Here is a 16,947-nt window from a genome sequence, read left to right as displayed (position 1 = left end):
GGAGGGGAGAAGGGAGGAACAAGATGATCACTCCAGGAAACCCTGAGGAAGGATTTATTCAAGCTGCTCTCTTTAAATGCTGTTTTTAAAAAAGCAAGAACCTGGAAAATCCCTCCAGAAAGGGGGGCTTCTTCCCTGCTGCCTCTTGCTGGTAACCAGGGCCATTTCTGTCACGGGGGAAGCCACATTTGCAACACTGGCTCCTTTTTCTGCAAATAGGATTTTTCTTTCAGGCTTGCTTTGTGCTTATGTGTGAATTTTTGGTGATGTCTTGTAGCCAATTTCCTCCCTCTGGGAATACATAGCTGAAGAAATTATAATGTAAATCAGGATGGTAATATGATTCAGAGGACATATTTTTCCAGGAATGCTTCCCTCGCTTGACGCCAGAGACTGAGAAACAGTATGGAAGCAAGCTGGATTTACTTGGGAAAACAAAGGCTGGCTTGAATGTTCCAGCTCTGATTTGGCCGAAGCGCGGTTCCCCACTAACTGGCAGGGCTGAGCCCGCTGCTCCCTGAAGCAGCCCTGTGTTCCTTCCCCATCACTCCTGATCTAGTGGAGGCCACTGGATTTGCAGAACTTCCCAATAGGCTGCAGGGACAGATGGCCCAGGGATGAGCAGCAGGACCCAGAATTGGCCCCACCCCAAGGAACACCCCTGGGCGGACAGAGGACCACTCTGCTCACTGCTTAAGCACCAACCCATCTGTAGTGAGTTGACTGGTGACCACTAAAAAGATATGTCCACATCCTAGGCCCCAGTACCGATGAATGGGGCCTTATAGGAAAAACGGTCTTTTTCCTATAAGGATGTAATTAGGTTAGGGGTCTCAAGATGAGATCATCCTGGATTATCCTGGTGGCCCCTAAATCCAATGACAATTGCCCTTATAAGAGACACACAGAAGAAGGTCACGTGAAGATGGAGGCAGAGACTGGAGTGATGCAGCCACCAGCAAAGGAATGCCTGGGGCCACCACGTTACACTTGGAAAGGCCTCCTCTATTCCTATAAAACCAATATAAAATAATGCTCCCTTGTTTTCTTGTAGTGCTTTCAATAGTTTAATTTTTAGACTGAGCTCTTTGACCCTGCTGGCTCGGCTGGGCAGTCAGCTTGCATTTTGTTCCAAATGACCAGCCTACGTGCTAACACTACTCCCTGAGAAGCCAGAAGAAGCAAGAAAGGACCTTCCTCTAGAGGCTTCAGAGTATGCACAGCCCTGAGGACACCCTGATTTCAGACTTCTGGCCTCCAGAAATGGGAAGGAATGATTTTTTATTGTTCTAAGCCTCCAAGTTTGTGGTAATTTGTTACTGCGGCTGCAGGAAACTAATCCACCATCCTTGCGAGCCACCCCTCCCCTTCTATTGTCTACCTGGTGACCACCTGAACAAATAACATTTGTGGAATGAAAGAAGCAACAGGACAGTAATGTGATGGGCCAAGGCCAGTCCCCAGTGTATGCACAAGACAGACTTCTTTCCCCTTAATGAAGAAATAGGGCAGCTGGTGTTCATCCCATTCAGCAACCAACTGAGACCAGCATCACACACCCTGACCTCAAATTACACAGGAGCTCCATGGGTGAGTGGTCTCACTGAACCAAGGTTACTACTCAGAGGTATGACCTTCTAGAAAATGTGATTTGGGTCGCTCCCTCTACTCCTCTCTTCGTCCTCTCTCCCGCTCTCTTTCTGGTTGAGTCACTAGCAAATTTCACCAGCCACATGTGTACTCAGCGACAAAAGGTTGAATGAATAGAAAGATTTTTAAAGTCACTCATGTTTTACCTTTTAGCGTGAAAGAAAAGTTATGAAGAATCTGACTCAGTACAGAAATTTCTAAGAAGCAACTCCCTCAAGACAGATCCGAGTGAAACCAACAAGCATGTGCATACACCTGTCAGAAGCACTTCATCAAATTACAGGTTTATGTTCAGCCCAGGACAATGTGAGAGCCAGTGTTAAATTCCCCAACAGGCAACTGTCACTCTTCTTTTAGACCAAAACCAACATAAGAGCTGTCCAGAGAAGAAAAAGAGAAGAGCACATCAGAGGAACTTGGCAAGTTATCAGATTACCACGACTATTTCTAGATCATCTTTCATTATCCCTGCCTACACCTTGGGAATTCCTCCCCTAATTTGAGAGTTTCAAGTTGTCAGCATCAATTGGCAAATGCCAAGTAAGGCAACACACAAGAATTCTCAGCCCCTGAAGAGAATTAGAGAGAAAAGAGGAACCCTACACCTTGGCATTGTTATTTCTGACTAGGGTCGTGAGAACCGAACCTTTTTTATTCTTTGACATCTAATGGACAGGTTCCTTGAGATTAGTTAGAAATCTTCCATTCAGTTCTAGAGATAATAGCGACATTCACAACCAACATGATCCTCAGGCCCAGTGTCCTTGATGGGAACCTCTGCAGAGCTACTGAGCGCTGTCCCTTGGGAGAATGGACTGTCCTGGCGAGCAGCTAGATACTGGGTTCATGGGTTAAAGAAGCGCCAGGAGGGTGTCACAGTGATGGTGGCTGCATTCTATACAGTGTGTATGTAGTCTGGGTTCTCCAGAGAAATATAATCAATAGGATGGATGAAGAGATAGAAAGAGAGAGATATACATCTGTCTATGCAGATACAAATATACATGATTTATTACAAGCATTGGCTCACACAGTTATGGAGGCTCAGAATTCCCAAGACCTGCAGTTTCCTGGAGACCCAGGAAAGCTAATGATGTAGTCCTAGTCCAAGTCCAAGTCCAAAAGGAAGAGAAGACCAGTGTCCCAGCTGTAGTACAGTCAGGCAAAGGGAGCAGATTCTCTTTTACTTTGCCTTTTTGTTCTGTTCAGGGCTTCAGCAGATTGAATAAGGGCAATCAGTTTTATTCAGTCTATTGATTCAAATGCTAATCTCATCCAGAACCACTCTCACGGAAGTATCTAGAAGGTTGTTTAACCAAATATCTGGGTGCCCCATGCCCAGTCGAGTTGATATATAAAATTAACCGTCATAGTCTGGATACCCAGGAATTTGACAGCAGCCACGTGCAGCCGAGAGTTCGTTGGTCAACTGTTCTGTGAGCTCGAGGAGTGAAGATCCTTGGATACTGGCTCAGTCTCAGGGAGGGCTGGGGGAGAAACATAATGCTGGGTCTTGCCCAACATTTCACTCTGAATTGTCTCGAGAGGGCTTTCTTCCTCAGGAATTTCTGCACTGAGATGGAACTTTACAACCTTTTTTCACTCCAAAAGGTAAAAAATGAGTAAATAATATAGTTGAAAACAAGCTGTTGTTCATATATACTCCTAGCCAGTAGAGGAAACCAGTTGAGAGAGAATGAGTGGGATCTATAAATCTCACTTTTGTATCAGAGAGACAGGAAAAAAGGCATGATTTGCTCTATGCCATTGATATACATACAAATATCTGGCTCTTGTCAAATAAGAATTTTAATTAAAATGGTCACAATGGTATCCAGCCCTTCTGCTGACATAGGGAATCCCTGAGCACCAGTGACCATGGATACTCTCAGTTGTTTCAAAAATGAATAACGAAGATGTTTGGTAAAGCTCTTCCAGGTTAATGTTGAAGATTTTTCCAACCATGTCTAGAAAGGCGACAGTATGTGATACACCAATTCATACAAAAGGTGGCCCTGAGGATTTAGAGAGATAAACAGAGTGCCAGGCTGAGTGTAATCCCTACCATACAGAAGGCCCCCTCGGTGAAGGTCAGTCAAACTTCCACTGGCCAATGAACACACTAACCCTTGGGCTGAGCTTGGATTGACAGTACATGACAAATGGTTAAGACTAGTGTTGATTTCCACCTTTCCTTCATTCAGCAAGCACTCTATTTCTTCCCTGTTCTTTCTGTGTTTGCCTGAGATCATGCAATTATCAATAACAGTAGTTATAACTAACATTCATTGAGTATTTACTGCATGCCAGCCCTGTTCTAAGTGTTTCACACGTATTAACTCACAAAATCCTTACTGCTCCTCTATAATGTAGATTCTGTTATTACCACCCTAATTATATGAGTAAGGAAACAGAGGCACAGGAGAGTGAATTAACTTGTCCAAGGGCACATAGCTTTTGTATTAGTTATCTCTTGCTGTACAATTTACCCCAAAACTTAGTGGCTGAAAACAACCAACACTTATTGTCTCACAGCTTCTGTAGATCTAGAATTCAGGAGCTACTTAGCTGAGTACTTATGAGGTTGCAATCAAGATGTTGGCTGGGGCTGCAGTCATCTGAAGGCTTGACTGGGGCTGGAGGATCCACTTCCAAGATGATACACTAATATGGCTGTTGACAGGAGGCCTCAGTTCCTTGCTACGTGGACATCTCTATAAGTTGCTTGGTGTCCTCACAACATGATAGCTAATTTTCCCCAAAGCAAACAATTCCAGAGAGAAAGAGAAAACCCACAGCACCCTTTAGACTTAGTCTCTAAAGTTACACACCATCACTTCCACTTTATTTAACAGAAATGAGTTACTAAATCCAGCCAACATGTAAGGGGAAGGAACGTAGGCTCCATCTCTTGAAGAGGGAGCATCAAATATTTTGTGCCTGTGTTTTAAACCATGTAAGCAGTAGAGCTGGGATTTGGCCCCCTCAGACTGGCTCCAACAGCTACATGCTTCACCACTACAGTAGGTGCTCCCTGAGTTTACGTGGGTCTCTCAGCCACATGTACAAAGCTCTGTAGTCTTTTCTATTTATTTATCCACCCATCTATCCATTCATTCATCTACCTGTCCATTCATCCATCTGTCCACCCATCCAGTCATCCATCCATCCACCCACCCATACATTCATCAATCCATTCATCAATGGGTTATTGCTCAGTGCAGGTAGTCCTCTCCTCCAGGCTCCTTCCCTCAGAGCTGCAGGTCCAGGCACCACTGCCTATCATGGAGGCTTTCTGGGTATTTCTGGGAATTATGCAAGAAGCCTATGACCCCAGAAAAGAGTTTTCAAACCAATCAGTTAAGACACTTAGGAGAGCATCCCCACCTCTCTATACAATCCCAGAAGTTTCTCTCTAAAACAGCACCGACCATAACATTCATGGATAACTCCTATTGTCTACAGGATTACAGGATAACATGCAAATTCCTTGGACATCATTGAAGTCCTTTTACAATGCTACCTTACCTGACCAGTATCATCTCATGTCCCCATCTTCACTTCAGCAGCCCAACGAATCACTCACTAGCTGTCGCTTCTAGATAATTACTGACCCCACTGCCCTGCATTTATCCTTCAAGGCTCTCCTAATAGGTCCCATCCTCTTTGAAATCTTCTCTGACACCACCACCCGCCAAGTTAGCCGGCTTCTGTTTGGCCCCATAGGGCCTTTGTGCATAACACTCAAATGCATTTAACACTTTGTTTTGTGAATTTCTAGCCTTCCACTAGAGAAATATCTCTGTGACAGTAAGAACTTTTGTAGGGCTAGGCAAAGAGCAGCAATTCCAAATGCTTGCCTTTGCCAATGAATGAATTAATGGATGGATGAATGGATTGTTGGCTGGCTGTATGAATGAGTGAACAGAAGGGTGTGTTGATGAATGGGTTGATGAATGGGTGAATGAGTGAACTGATGGATGACTGAAATGACTGGATGGGTGGGTGGATAGGTGGGTGGATGGATGGATGGATGGACAAATGGTTTGGTGTGTGGGTGGGTATATGGGTGAGGAAGTGGATGGATGGATGGATTGAATGAATGGATAAATGGATGGAGAGAAACAGTTTCTGATCTCTTGGAGCTTATGCAATAGTCAAACAAAAATAATTTTAACACATACTTTGAAGAAATTTGCTAAAGAAAAATGTTATGGAAAACAGCCCCATCATGATGAACTCATATGAAACATAAAGCATAAATTTCAAATACAAACAACAACAAAAAGGGAGGAAGAAGAAAGAAAGGGAAAGGAGAAGAAAGGAAAGGTCAAATAAAAGCACTCGTTAGTATTTCTGCAAACCCAAGGATTTGGTACTCCTGGCAAAGCAGGGCTATTTGGAGGTGTTTTTATTGGTTTTCCCCAAAAAACTGAAAATAAATTCTTTTGGCCAAGTTGATCTCTGGATGGAACACAGGGAGCTGCACATATGTGGCAGGATCAGAGCAGGTGAGGGCTGCCTACCAGGAACTGAGCTGTTGCCATGGAAAAGCCATCTCCCAGGCTGTGTACCGGAGTCCTCTCCCTCCCCATCCCCAGGCTGTCACACTGCAGCAGACTAGCTGGAGCTTGTCTCAAGCCACAGGAGGGACCAGTCCTGCAGTCCAAGGCCAGCAGAGTGGTGGGCACTGCCAGCATCGTGGCACCTGGGGAGAGGAACTGGAACCAATTATCGATTTCTGCCACTGGACAGTTAGACTCCTGAGTGCAACGTCAGCCTGACCAGGAGCCCTCTTCCTAGTCAACTGGGACCAGCACTGTAGTCACTCCTAATAAGGTCTCAGGTCCCAATGGGGACTGGTGGAGGTGGGGAAGGGGACATAGAGCTATTGGCACTAGAAATCTCCACCAGTGCCTGCAGAGCCTGCTGCTTTCTCTCGTGGTTCCTCAACCTCAGCACTATTGGCATTTGGAGCCAGGTCACTCTCTGTTGCAGGGGCCATCCTGCGCCTTGCAAGCTGTGTGCAGCATTCCTGGCCTCTACCTCTAAGTGCCAGTAGCACCCCCTCCAGTTTGACAATCAAAAATGTCTCCAGACATGGCTGCTGTCCCCACTTGGGCCAACACAACCCTGCTGAGAACACAGCTCTGGCTGGTGCCTTGCTTTCCCCTGGTTTTGCTCATCCACTTGCTACCTCCCCAAGCTGGCCCTGTGCACAGCCAGAAGTGGATGGAGTTTGTCTTTGAGCACAGCCCCCAGGCCAATGCCAGCTGCCCTGCACCTCATACGCCCACCCACAGGCCTCAGCACTCCCTGGTGTCCCTTCCACAAGGCACTGGGCTGTCCACTTCATTGCTTCACCCAACATAGATCCATCAGGTGCCTGGTGTTGGCTGGCGGCAGAGTTCAGTGGTGAGCAAAGTGCAGGGCCTCCCTCCTGCACTAATAGATGGAGCTTAGGGCCTACCTGGCCTGCCCGGCCTGTCCTACCATGTGCTTCTGGAGGTCACGGGACTCACACCTGGCCCATGCCAGGACCACCTCCTGGAGAAAGGACCCCTGTACCCTTCCTCTCCACCGCTGACCCAAAGGTCAGTCCCCAAGCCACAGACTTGCCACCTCCCTTTCTGCACTCAGACGTGCCCTGTGCCAAAGGTCAGTCCCCACGCCATGGGCCTGCCCATCTCCCTTTCCGCACTCAGCCCTGCCCTCCGCCAGCACTCCTGCAGTTCTGTGGTGCCCACGAATCTCCCACGGACCCTGTTAAAATGCAGGCTCAGATTCAGGAGGTCTGGGTTCTGCATTTGCAACCTGCTGGCAAGGGTGCAGGTATTGCTGGTCCAGAGCTCACATGAGGACAGAGGAGCCAAGCCACAGTTAGAGAAGCTGACAAGCGCAGCAGGGTCGGCGCACCCCACCCCCACCCCCACCCCCACCCCCGCTATTGACATGGGTTGGGGTCAGGGGTCTGGCTTGCCGTTAAGGTAACTCTAGCATAGGAATTTGGGAGTCAATGTAACAGTGATGGACTGTTTAGGGGTGGACCTCCAAATTCTTCTTTTGGTGTAAGAGTCTATAAGAGCCTGCTTGCTGGTTTGAAATTGCTTCCAGGAGCAGCGAAAGCCCCTAGTGACTACCTGCGGAGTCCGAATCAGGAGGTCAGCCCTTTTATGGCCACACGGCCTCTCCTGGGGCCGGAGAATTCCGCTCAGGGCAGGGCGATGCGGCGGCGCCCAGGGACTGGGTGTCATCGCAGCAGCTCCTCCCAGGGGTGCTGGGGACCGAGGGGCAGAGGCGCAGCCCGAGGGTCCCCGCGATGACAGTGGTGCTCATCCCCAGCGCGGTCAGCGCACCAGAAACCCGCACCGTACCTGCAGCCCTGAAAGACGCAGCGAGCGCGTGCGCCACCTAGCGGTGCGTCGGCTGCCCAGCCCGGCGCAGTTTCTTAAAGCCAATGCAGCCACTCGCGGAAAAATCCCCGCCAACTTGATTCCTTCCTCTCTGAGGTCTCATCTGTGTGGCCTTTACATCTCTGAGACGCAGCCATCATATTAACTCCAGATCCTTAAAGGAAAGACTTTTGGTTTTGCACAGGCCAGTAGTTCAAAACGGAGCCCCTGCTACATTGCCAGACGCTGGGAATATCACATTAAATAAAAGAAAGCTCATGGCTCAAGGGCCCAGTCCAAAGGAGACACTTAGAAAGTGGTGCGAAGGGTGTCGATTGAGTCAAACCCGGAGCAGCAGAGGAGCTCCGAGCAGGACTGCATGAGTCCACCTGGAAGGCTTGGGGACAGGGGCAGTGCAGGGTGGGCTGTCTGGGAAAAGCAGCCCTTACCTCTCCTTAGCCACCCTAAGTGAGTAAGTTGTCCAGATTTCTTTCATTCAATCATTCATTCATTATTCATTCATTCATTTATTCATTCGTCGTTTATTGCCCTCATGCTATGCGCTCTGCAGTGTTCTAGGTAGTCAGGACACAGCATGAGTAAACCAAGCTTACATCCAAGTGAGCAGAGAAAGACTAAACCAGAAAGTAAGCCTGTCGGAGTGAGACGTGCAGAAAGGAAAGGAATCACGGCTCTGGAGGGGGTGAAGTACGTGAGGTATAGGGGAGTCAGGGAAGCTGTCCCTGCAGAGCTAATACTAGATCCATCCTGGGTGAGAGGAGGTGTGAGCCCTGTGGGTATCAGGGAGAGAGTGTTCCAAGCAGAGAGGACCTGCATGCAAAGGCCCTGTGGTGAAAGGAAGCTTGGAGAAGCATCAAGGAGGCCTGACTCGGCGGAGCCAGTGGGTGAGGAGGGGAGTGGGCAGAGAGGAGGCGAGTGAGGTCACAGGCACCAGGCCAGGGAGAGCTTTGTGTGGCTTTTGCTCTGAGAGGGGAGCCCTGGAGGGTGTCGAGCAAAGAGTGGCATGACATTACATGCATTTTGAAAGGATGGCTGTGGTTGGCGTGTGAGCTGTAGATGACCAACTGTCCTCATTTGCTTGGGACTGAGGGATTTCCGGGATGTGGGACATTCAATGCTAAATGTGGGTAAGTCCCAGGCAAACAGAGATTAGTTGGTCACACAATGTGCAGATAGCAGCCAGTAACTGGGGAAAGGTTTGCTGCAGTAACTCAGCTGAGAGCTGACATTGGGGACAGGTTGGGTTGAAGGTGAAAAAGATGCCGTTGAGTTCCGCAAACCATATCTGGGGCATATTTCAGGGATCTGAAGGTTCTCCCCTGGCCCCACACTCCAGAATAGCCTGTTTACACTGGCTAGAGGGCAGTTAGACTTCACATGGTTGGGATATGCTGTCATCACTAAGGGAAATCACAGGGCTCAAAGTCACAGCATGGAAGCAAACAGGTAAACCCTGAGGGAACAGCATCAGCTCTCCCTGCTCTTTGGCCATCTTCTCTCCCAAGGCTCCTCCAGGTGTCTCCGATGTGCAGCCAGGATGAGCCCCAATGAGAGCCCCTTCCCCTTCTTTCCTCCACTGGTTTGCCTGATCAACTCCTACTCATCCTTCAAAGCCCAGCACATCTTTTGTAAAGACTTCCCTGCTTCAGTCCTGCCTAGAGAATCCCTCCCTTCCCTGTCCCCCTCTAACTCTGAACACACCTCTAAAATTAAACATACCCATCTGTCTGCTGGTTATGCATGTCAGTGCCTGTGTCCTCATTTCTGTCTCATCCCTGTGTCCCTGTGTTGTGTCCTATCCACAACAGGTGTGTGATGAGTGAGTTGGACACAACACAGACACAAGTGAGCCCAGCCACTGGGCCAGGAAAAGTGCTGCTCTGAGATGCACCCTCATTTCTGAAGCTGAGAGACAAATCCTATCCCTGAGAAAAGGAAGCCTGGAGCCCCAGGAAGGAGGATGGATGAGCTCCAAGGAGCCGGCTCCTGGAAAGAAACAGGACTGGAAGAGGGGGAGGGGACAGGGGCAGCCCAGCCAAAGGAAGCTGCAGGACAGTCCAGCTGGAGATGGAAGCCTCCCAGTAATGGGACCACCCAGGAAAGCTGATGGACAACCACCCACTTCCCTAGCTCCAGCAGGCTGCCCCTGGGCCTATCGGCCATAGCCCTAGAGATGGTTCAGGTCCCAACCCTCTTCCTCCAGCCTCTGCTCCATTTCCACCACTCCTCTTTCCCTCATGCTGTCTTACCTGTCCCCGTCTCCTCTCAATTCTTCTTCTCCTCCTTTGTTTTCTCTCTCTCATTTTGCATTCAATAATGAATATTATTGCTCATTAAAAACGTTTTGAGAATAATGTAAAAAGGAGACTTTTATAGCATTTACCACACTTAAAAGAAAAATCTGGCCTGGACAATGTAGCAAGACTCTGTCTCTACAAAAAATAAAATAATTAACAGGGCACAGCAGCATGCACCTGTAGTCCCAGCTACTTGGGAGGCTGAGACAGGAGGACCACTTTAGCCCAGGAGTTCGAGGCTGCAGTAAGCTGTGATGGTACCACTGCACTCCCACCTTAGCCACATAGCCAGATCCTATCTCAAGAAAACAGAGAGAGAGAGAAGAAAGAAAGAGAAAGGAAGGGAAGGGAAGGGGAAGGGAGAAAAAGAGAAAGAGAGAAAAACCTACCATCTCCTTACATGTGTATTACATCTTTATTTCCTTTTTGATTAGGTAAAAAGTCCAAGTGAAACAACCATAGCTGATAAGTTTATACTAAGCTAAGGATATACCATGTATCTTGAACTTTAACATTTTCAAGTAAAAAGAGATGTCAGAGAACCCAAACTGACTTATGAAAAAAGAAAAAAAAATTGAGGATGTCTTAGCTCATACAACCAAAAACCCAGGGGGAGAGGACTTCCGATGCTGCCGGTTCCTAGGCGCTGAGATGACCCCCAGACCCAGCTCCTTTTCTCCAGGTCTCCTGCTTTCCCTTCCTTCTGCATCACCGTCATCCTTAGACTACTTCTTTCATGGTAGCAGAAGTGTCCACCACATTTCAGGCCCCAACTTCTCACAAGCAGAAGAGTCAGGATCTCTTCCAGAAGCTTCCACAGAAAAGAGAAGCTTCCTTCCTAGAAGCTAAAGCTATATTTCTTTGCATCTCATTGTCCTTAAGGAGGTCATATGCCATTTCCGACCCAATCACTGGGGACAAGCAGATGAGCTCTATGGACTTGCTTAAGCCAAGCAGGGATCACCCTTAAGAGATGGGGTCAATCCCTCCTAGACTACAGGTAGAGAATGGGTCAAGACACAATTCCCTCCAGAGCAATTAAGTAAAAAAAAGAAACAGAAAGTATTCCAATTGGAAAGAAGTAAAACTAGTTCTATTCAAAGATAACATGATCTTATACAGAGAAAACCCCAAAGAATCCACAAAAATACTACGAGAGCCAATAAACAAATTCAGAAAAGTTGTAGAGTACAAGATCAACACAAAAAAAAATGTTGAATTTCTATACATAAGGACCTAGGAAGAAACAAACTCCGCATCTCGTACTATACTCTTACAACAGATAACACTTCCATGACTCCAGAGGGCTGTTGGGGTTTCTCCAACAACAACCAGTGCTGCAGGTCATTCTCCAGTGGACACCCCTGTGTGTTCCCTAATTCAGTTCAGCTCTGACACTGTCTACCTGCAGGCAGTGTCAGATCCCACAGGGTGAGGGCTCAGCCCCACAAGCCTGCCCCACCCCGGCAGATGCCAGTCGCAAGCACAGGTTGTGGCCTGTGCTTCTGACCAACTGGCTGTAAATTGGGAGTTCCCGCAACCCCATCCTGGGATTCAATTAATTTGCGAAAGCAGTTCACAGAACTCAGGGAACCACTCTACTTACACCTACCCATTTATTATAAAGGATATAATTAAGGGTACAGATGAGCAGCCAGAAGGAAGAAGGGTACAGGGCAAAGTGTGGGAGAAGAGGCAAGAAGAGGGGCACGCCCTCCCTGGGTTAACCCCTTCCAGGAACATCCATGTGTTCAGCTTTCCAGAAGCCCCCAGAACTCAGTCCTTTTGCTTTTCTATGGAAGCTTCATTATGTAGGCATGAGTAATGATATCATTGGCCATTGGTGATCAACTGAACCTTCAACCCCCTTCCCTTCCCTGGAGGTTGGGGGTGGGACCGAAAGTCTCAACCTTCTAATCATGCCATGGTCTTTCAGGTGGCCAGCCCCCACCCGGAAGCTATCTAGAGGTCTGCAGCTGCCAGTCATCTCAGTAGCAAACAAAAGACATTCTTAACACTCCAGAGATTCTAGTGGTTTTAGGAGCTATGTATCAGGAAATGGGATAAAGGCCAAATATATATTTCACAATATCACAATACACTAGCAATGGACAATTCAAAAAGGAAATTAAGAAAACAGGCCCATTGACAATAGCATCCAAAAAATGAAATAAAATACCTAAGTTCAAACCAAGGAAGTGAAAACTCATATACTGAAAATCATAAGGTCCTGCTGAAAGAAATGAAAGAATATCTAAATAAATGGAATAACATCCTGTGCTTATAGGTTGGAGGGCTTAATATTATTTTTGCTTTGTTTTGTTTTGTCTTTTTGAGACAGGGTCTTATTCTGTCACCCAGGCTGGAGTGCAGTGGCACGATCTTGGGTGACTGCAGCCTCTGCCTCCCAGGCTCAAGTAATTCTCCCACCTCAGCCCTCCAAGTAGCTGGGACTACAAGCATGCACCACCATGCCCAGCTAACTTTTGTATTTTTAGGAGAGACATGGTTTCACCACGTTGCCCCGGCTGGTTTCAAACTCCTGAGCTCAAGTTATCTGCACACCTCAGCCTCCCAAAGTGCTGAGATTACAGGTGTGAGCCACTGCACTCAGCCCAGGCTTAATATTATTAAGATGGCAGTACTACCCAAAGTGATCTGCAGATTTAATGTTATCCCTGCCAAAATTCCAATGGCCATTTTGCAGAACTAAAAAGCCCAATCCTCAAGTTCATATGGAAATGCAAGGGTCCCCAAATGGCCAAAACAATGCTGAAAAAGAACAAAATTAGAAGATTCACACTTCCTCATTTCAAAACTTACTATAAAACTATAGTAATTAAAGCAGTGACTGAATATAAGGCATAAGGATGGACATCTAAACCAGTGGAATAGAATTTAGAGTCCAGAAATAAACCTGCACACCTTAGAATAATTGACTTTCATGAGGACACTAAGATCATTTAATGGGAAAGAATCCTCTTTTCAACAAATGGTGCTGGGACAACTAGATATATACATGCAAAAGAATTAGTTGAAACTCTACCTCATACATTTGCAAAAATAAACTCAAAATGCATCAAGACCTAAATAGAGGAGCAAAAGCTGTAAGACTCTTTAGAAGAAAACACAGGGGTAAATCTTCATGACTTCGGATTCATCAATGGATTCTTAGCTGTGACACCACAAGTACAGGCAACAAAAGAAAAATATAAATATAACTTCATCAAAATAAAAAACTTGTATGCATTGAAATACATTATCATGAAAGTGAAAGACAACATACAGAATGGGAGAAAATATTTTCAAATTATTTTCAAATATTTTGAATATCCATCTTAACCATGTTATTCCAGCTACAATTCTGTGAAGACATTTCAGAGTCTCTGCATATTTCCTTATTGTAAGCTCCAAACAGTAGATTCAGCATCATGAAAATGTCCAAAGCATTGTTGTTTTTATCCCTGCATTATAGCAGAGATGCATATGCACATTCACACACACACACACACACACACACAACACACACAGACTTCATGCTCCCCAACACCACCTACCATCTCCCTAAAGATACAAAGAACTGATTGGCATCAAGCAGAGATTTCTTTGAGGCTTCCCTGTTTTGTTTTCATTGAGCTTTGAATTTGTAGTATGTCAGCAAAAAAAGGCAAACTCTGTAAACTACTTAAAGAGGTTTATTCTGAGCCAAATATGAATGACCAGGGCCCAAAGCACAGTCTCAAGAAGTCCGGAGAACATGTGCCCAAGGTGACTGGGTTACGGCTTGGTCATATACGTTTTAGGGAGACATAAGACCTCAATCAATACATGTGAGGTATAAATTGTTTAGTTCTGGAAAGGCAGGACAACTGGAAGGTGGGGGGGTGCCTTACAGGTCATAGGTGGATTCAAAGATTTTCTGATTGGCAATTGGTTGAAGAGTTAAGTTATTATCTAAAGACCTAGAATCAATAGAAAGGAGTGTTTGGGTTAAGATAAGGGGTTGTGGAGACCAGGGTTCTTGTTATGTAGATGAAGTCTCATAGGTAGCTGCCCTTTGAGACAATAGATGGCAATGTTTCCTATTTAGATCTTTTAAAGGTGCTAATCTCTTCTGGATTGGGAGGGCCTGGAAGGGGAAATACCTAGTTATATTATTAGAGATTCCTTACAGATGCAAATTTTGCATCACGAAAGCCAGCTTTGCAGCACCATTTCAAAGTATAGCAAAGAAACCTATTTTGGGATAAAATATTTTGATATCCTCCTTTACCTGTCATGTGATGTTATACTAGAGTCAGTATATAATTTGCAAAAAGGATCCTTCTCCTTCCTCAGCAGAATTGGAGTGCCCCAAAGTTCAGATGAGTAAGAAAGTGGAGAAGCTCAGAGGCCGTGCAGGCCAGCTTCCTCCAACCAGCACGGGTGCGGCATCCACACCCAGGCTCAGACAGGAAGACACAGGCCTCCGGATGCTGCTGTGGGCCGAGGTGTATCTCCCAATCTGCCTATGTTGAAGTCCTAACCCCCCATACCTCAGCATGTGGCTGTATTTGGAGGTAGGGCCTTTAAAGAAGTGATTAAGGTAAACGAGGCCATTAGGGTGGGCCCTCATCCAACCTAACTGGTGTCCTTATAAGAATAGGAGATTAGGACACAGACACAGACACACACAGAGGGGTGACCCTGTGAGGACCCAGGGAGGAGAGGGCATCTGTAAGCCAAGGAGAGAGAACTGTGTTATTTAAGGCGCCATCTGTGGTTTCCCTTGAGGCAGTTCTGGGGAGCTCCTACAGGCTCCCATTACCCCTGGGGCACTAGCACTCCTCCAACTCCTCACGTGGGGCTGAACATGGGTCTGAAGGCCTCTATGGGTTTTGGAGAGGGCTCTGAGGCAGAAGACCAGAGAAGCCCCCATCAAGCACTGGAGGGGGTATGCTTTCAGCATGCACAGAACTGCCCCACACACCCGAGCTGAGGCCCTGGGGCTGTGGGCTCCGTCCCCAAGGGAGCCAGGCACCAGTGGTTCTCAGCTGCGCCCACTGATCAGACCATGGCGTGAGCTTTCAGCAAATGTCCACTGCATCCAATGACATCAGAATTGTGGAGTAAAGCCCAGGCCCCTGCGCTTTTAAGAAGCTCCAAGGAGCTCTGGCATGCCTCCTGGAGGAGGACACCACTCCAGGAGTGGCACTTGCTTCTCTGTGCCCAGAGTCGAGGTAGGCTCTGGCCCAACTGCACGAGATGGACCTAGGACAGTGGTTCTCAGTCAAGGGCAAGTTTTGTCCCCCGGGAGACAGAGGGCAATATATGGAGGCATTTTGGATGTCACAATGGGGTGAGAGGACTCTGCTACTGGCACCCTGTGATCAGAGGCAGAGAATGCTGCTAAACACCCTGCAGTGCCGACCCCGGAGCCCGCTACCCCGGACCTGCTACCCGGCGCCTGCTACCCTGGACCTGCTACCCCGGTGCCTGCTACCCCAGACCCCGCTACCCTGGCTCCTGCTACCCCAGCACCCACTACCCTGGAGCCTGCTACCCCGGCGCCCGCTACCCCGGACCCCGCTACCCCGGCGCCCACTACCCCAGCGTCCTCTACCCCAGCTCCCGCTACCCCGGCGCCTACTACCCCTGATGTCCTATTGAGTCATTCCAAGTCCTGGAATTATTTGGACTGACCCTAGGCTTAGCTGAATCCCCCTGGTCCAGACAGGATGGGCTTGTTACAAGAGGTCCTATGTGATGAGGGAAAGGTGTTGCTAAACGCCCCCCACAGTAGAGAATTCTCCAATTCAAAATGTGGAACCCTGGCCTGGATATATGAAGAGGGAACAAAAGGAACTCACACTCATCGGCCCTTGTTACATATCCAGTTTGGGTCTGGACACTTTGCCTGCGTTGCCTCATTTAATTTTTTTTTTTTTTTTTTTTTTTTTTTTTTAGTATTTATTGCTCATTCTTGGGTGTTTCTCGGAGAGGGGGATGTGGCAGGGTCATAGGATAATAGTGGAGAGAAGGTCAGCAGATAAACAGGTGAACAAAGGTCTCCGGTTTTCCTAGCCAGTGGTCCCTGCGGCCTTCCACAGTGTTTGTGTCCCTGGGTACTTGAGATTAGGGAGTGGTGATGACTCTTAACGAGTATGCTGCCTTCAAGCATCTGTTTAACAAAGCACATCTTGCACCGCCCTTAATCCATTTAACCCTGAGTTGACACAGCACATGTTTCAGAGAGCACGGGGTTGGGGGTAAGGTTATAGATTAACAGCATCCCAAGGCAGAAGAATTTTTCTTAGTACAGAACAAAATGGAGTCTCCTATGTCTACTTCTTTCTACACAGACACAGTAACAATCTGATCTCTCTTTCTTTTCCCCACATTTCCCCTTTCTTTTCGACAAAACTGCCATCGTCATCATGGCCCGTTCTCGATGGTCACTGTCTCTTCAGAGCTGTTGGGTACACCTGCAGAAAGGCTGTCACTTTACACTTGGAAGATTGCACAGTGGCCAGGCAGAGGCACTCCTCACTTCCCAGACGGGGTGGCGGCCGGGTACCTCATTTAATTTTTAAAGGGAAAACAATGAA

The 16,947-nt window shown here is 47.3% G+C and overlaps 1 protein-coding gene and 1 long non-coding RNA gene across 2 annotated transcripts in view, besides 4 other annotated features; one reads left to right on the top strand and one right to left on the bottom strand.

Annotated features, from left to right (window-relative positions):
- The window catches only part of KCNJ6-AS1 (KCNJ6 antisense RNA 1), a 222,067-nt gene that overhangs the window by 57,244 nt on the left and 147,876 nt on the right, over positions 1-16,947 (bottom strand). The window lies entirely within an intron of this gene.
- KCNJ6 (potassium inwardly rectifying channel subfamily J member 6) overlaps positions 1-16,947 on the top strand; it is a 309,085-nt gene that overhangs the window by 232,999 nt on the left and 59,139 nt on the right. The gene's annotated exons all lie outside the window — the stretch shown is intronic.
- Positions 553-1,065: an enhancer, noted in NCBI's record as "H3K4me1 hESC enhancer chr21:39054697-39055209 (GRCh37/hg19 assembly coordinates)". NCBI's record gives its function as "activates a minimal SCP1, AML or CMV promoter by ChIP-STARR-seq in primed H9 embryonic stem cells {active_cell/tissue: H9 hESC(primed)}" and the evidence as "EXISTENCE:reporter gene assay evidence [ECO:0000049][PMID:30033119]".
- Positions 7,505-8,404: an enhancer, noted in NCBI's record as "H3K4me1 hESC enhancer chr21:39047357-39048256 (GRCh37/hg19 assembly coordinates)". NCBI's record gives its function as "activates a minimal SCP1, AML or CMV promoter by ChIP-STARR-seq in naive H9 embryonic stem cells {active_cell/tissue: H9 hESC(naive)}" and the evidence as "EXISTENCE:reporter gene assay evidence [ECO:0000049][PMID:30033119]".
- Positions 14,594-15,317: an enhancer, noted in NCBI's record as "OCT4-NANOG-H3K27ac-H3K4me1 hESC enhancer chr21:39040444-39041167 (GRCh37/hg19 assembly coordinates)". NCBI's record gives its function as "activates a minimal SCP1, AML or CMV promoter by ChIP-STARR-seq in primed H9 embryonic stem cells {active_cell/tissue: H9 hESC(primed)}" and the evidence as "EXISTENCE:reporter gene assay evidence [ECO:0000049][PMID:30033119]".
- Positions 15,318-16,040: an enhancer, noted in NCBI's record as "H3K27ac-H3K4me1 hESC enhancer chr21:39039721-39040443 (GRCh37/hg19 assembly coordinates)". NCBI's record gives its function as "activates a minimal SCP1, AML or CMV promoter by ChIP-STARR-seq in primed H9 embryonic stem cells {active_cell/tissue: H9 hESC(primed)}" and the evidence as "EXISTENCE:reporter gene assay evidence [ECO:0000049][PMID:30033119]".

This window comes from Homo sapiens, chromosome 21 (assembly GCF_000001405.40).
Source record: "Homo sapiens chromosome 21, GRCh38.p14 Primary Assembly".
NCBI classification, from domain to species: Eukaryota; Metazoa; Chordata; class Mammalia; order Primates; family Hominidae; genus Homo; species Homo sapiens.
The sequence above is the reverse complement of the archived record's forward strand: the minus strand, read 5'-3'. Positions and strand labels throughout refer to the sequence as shown.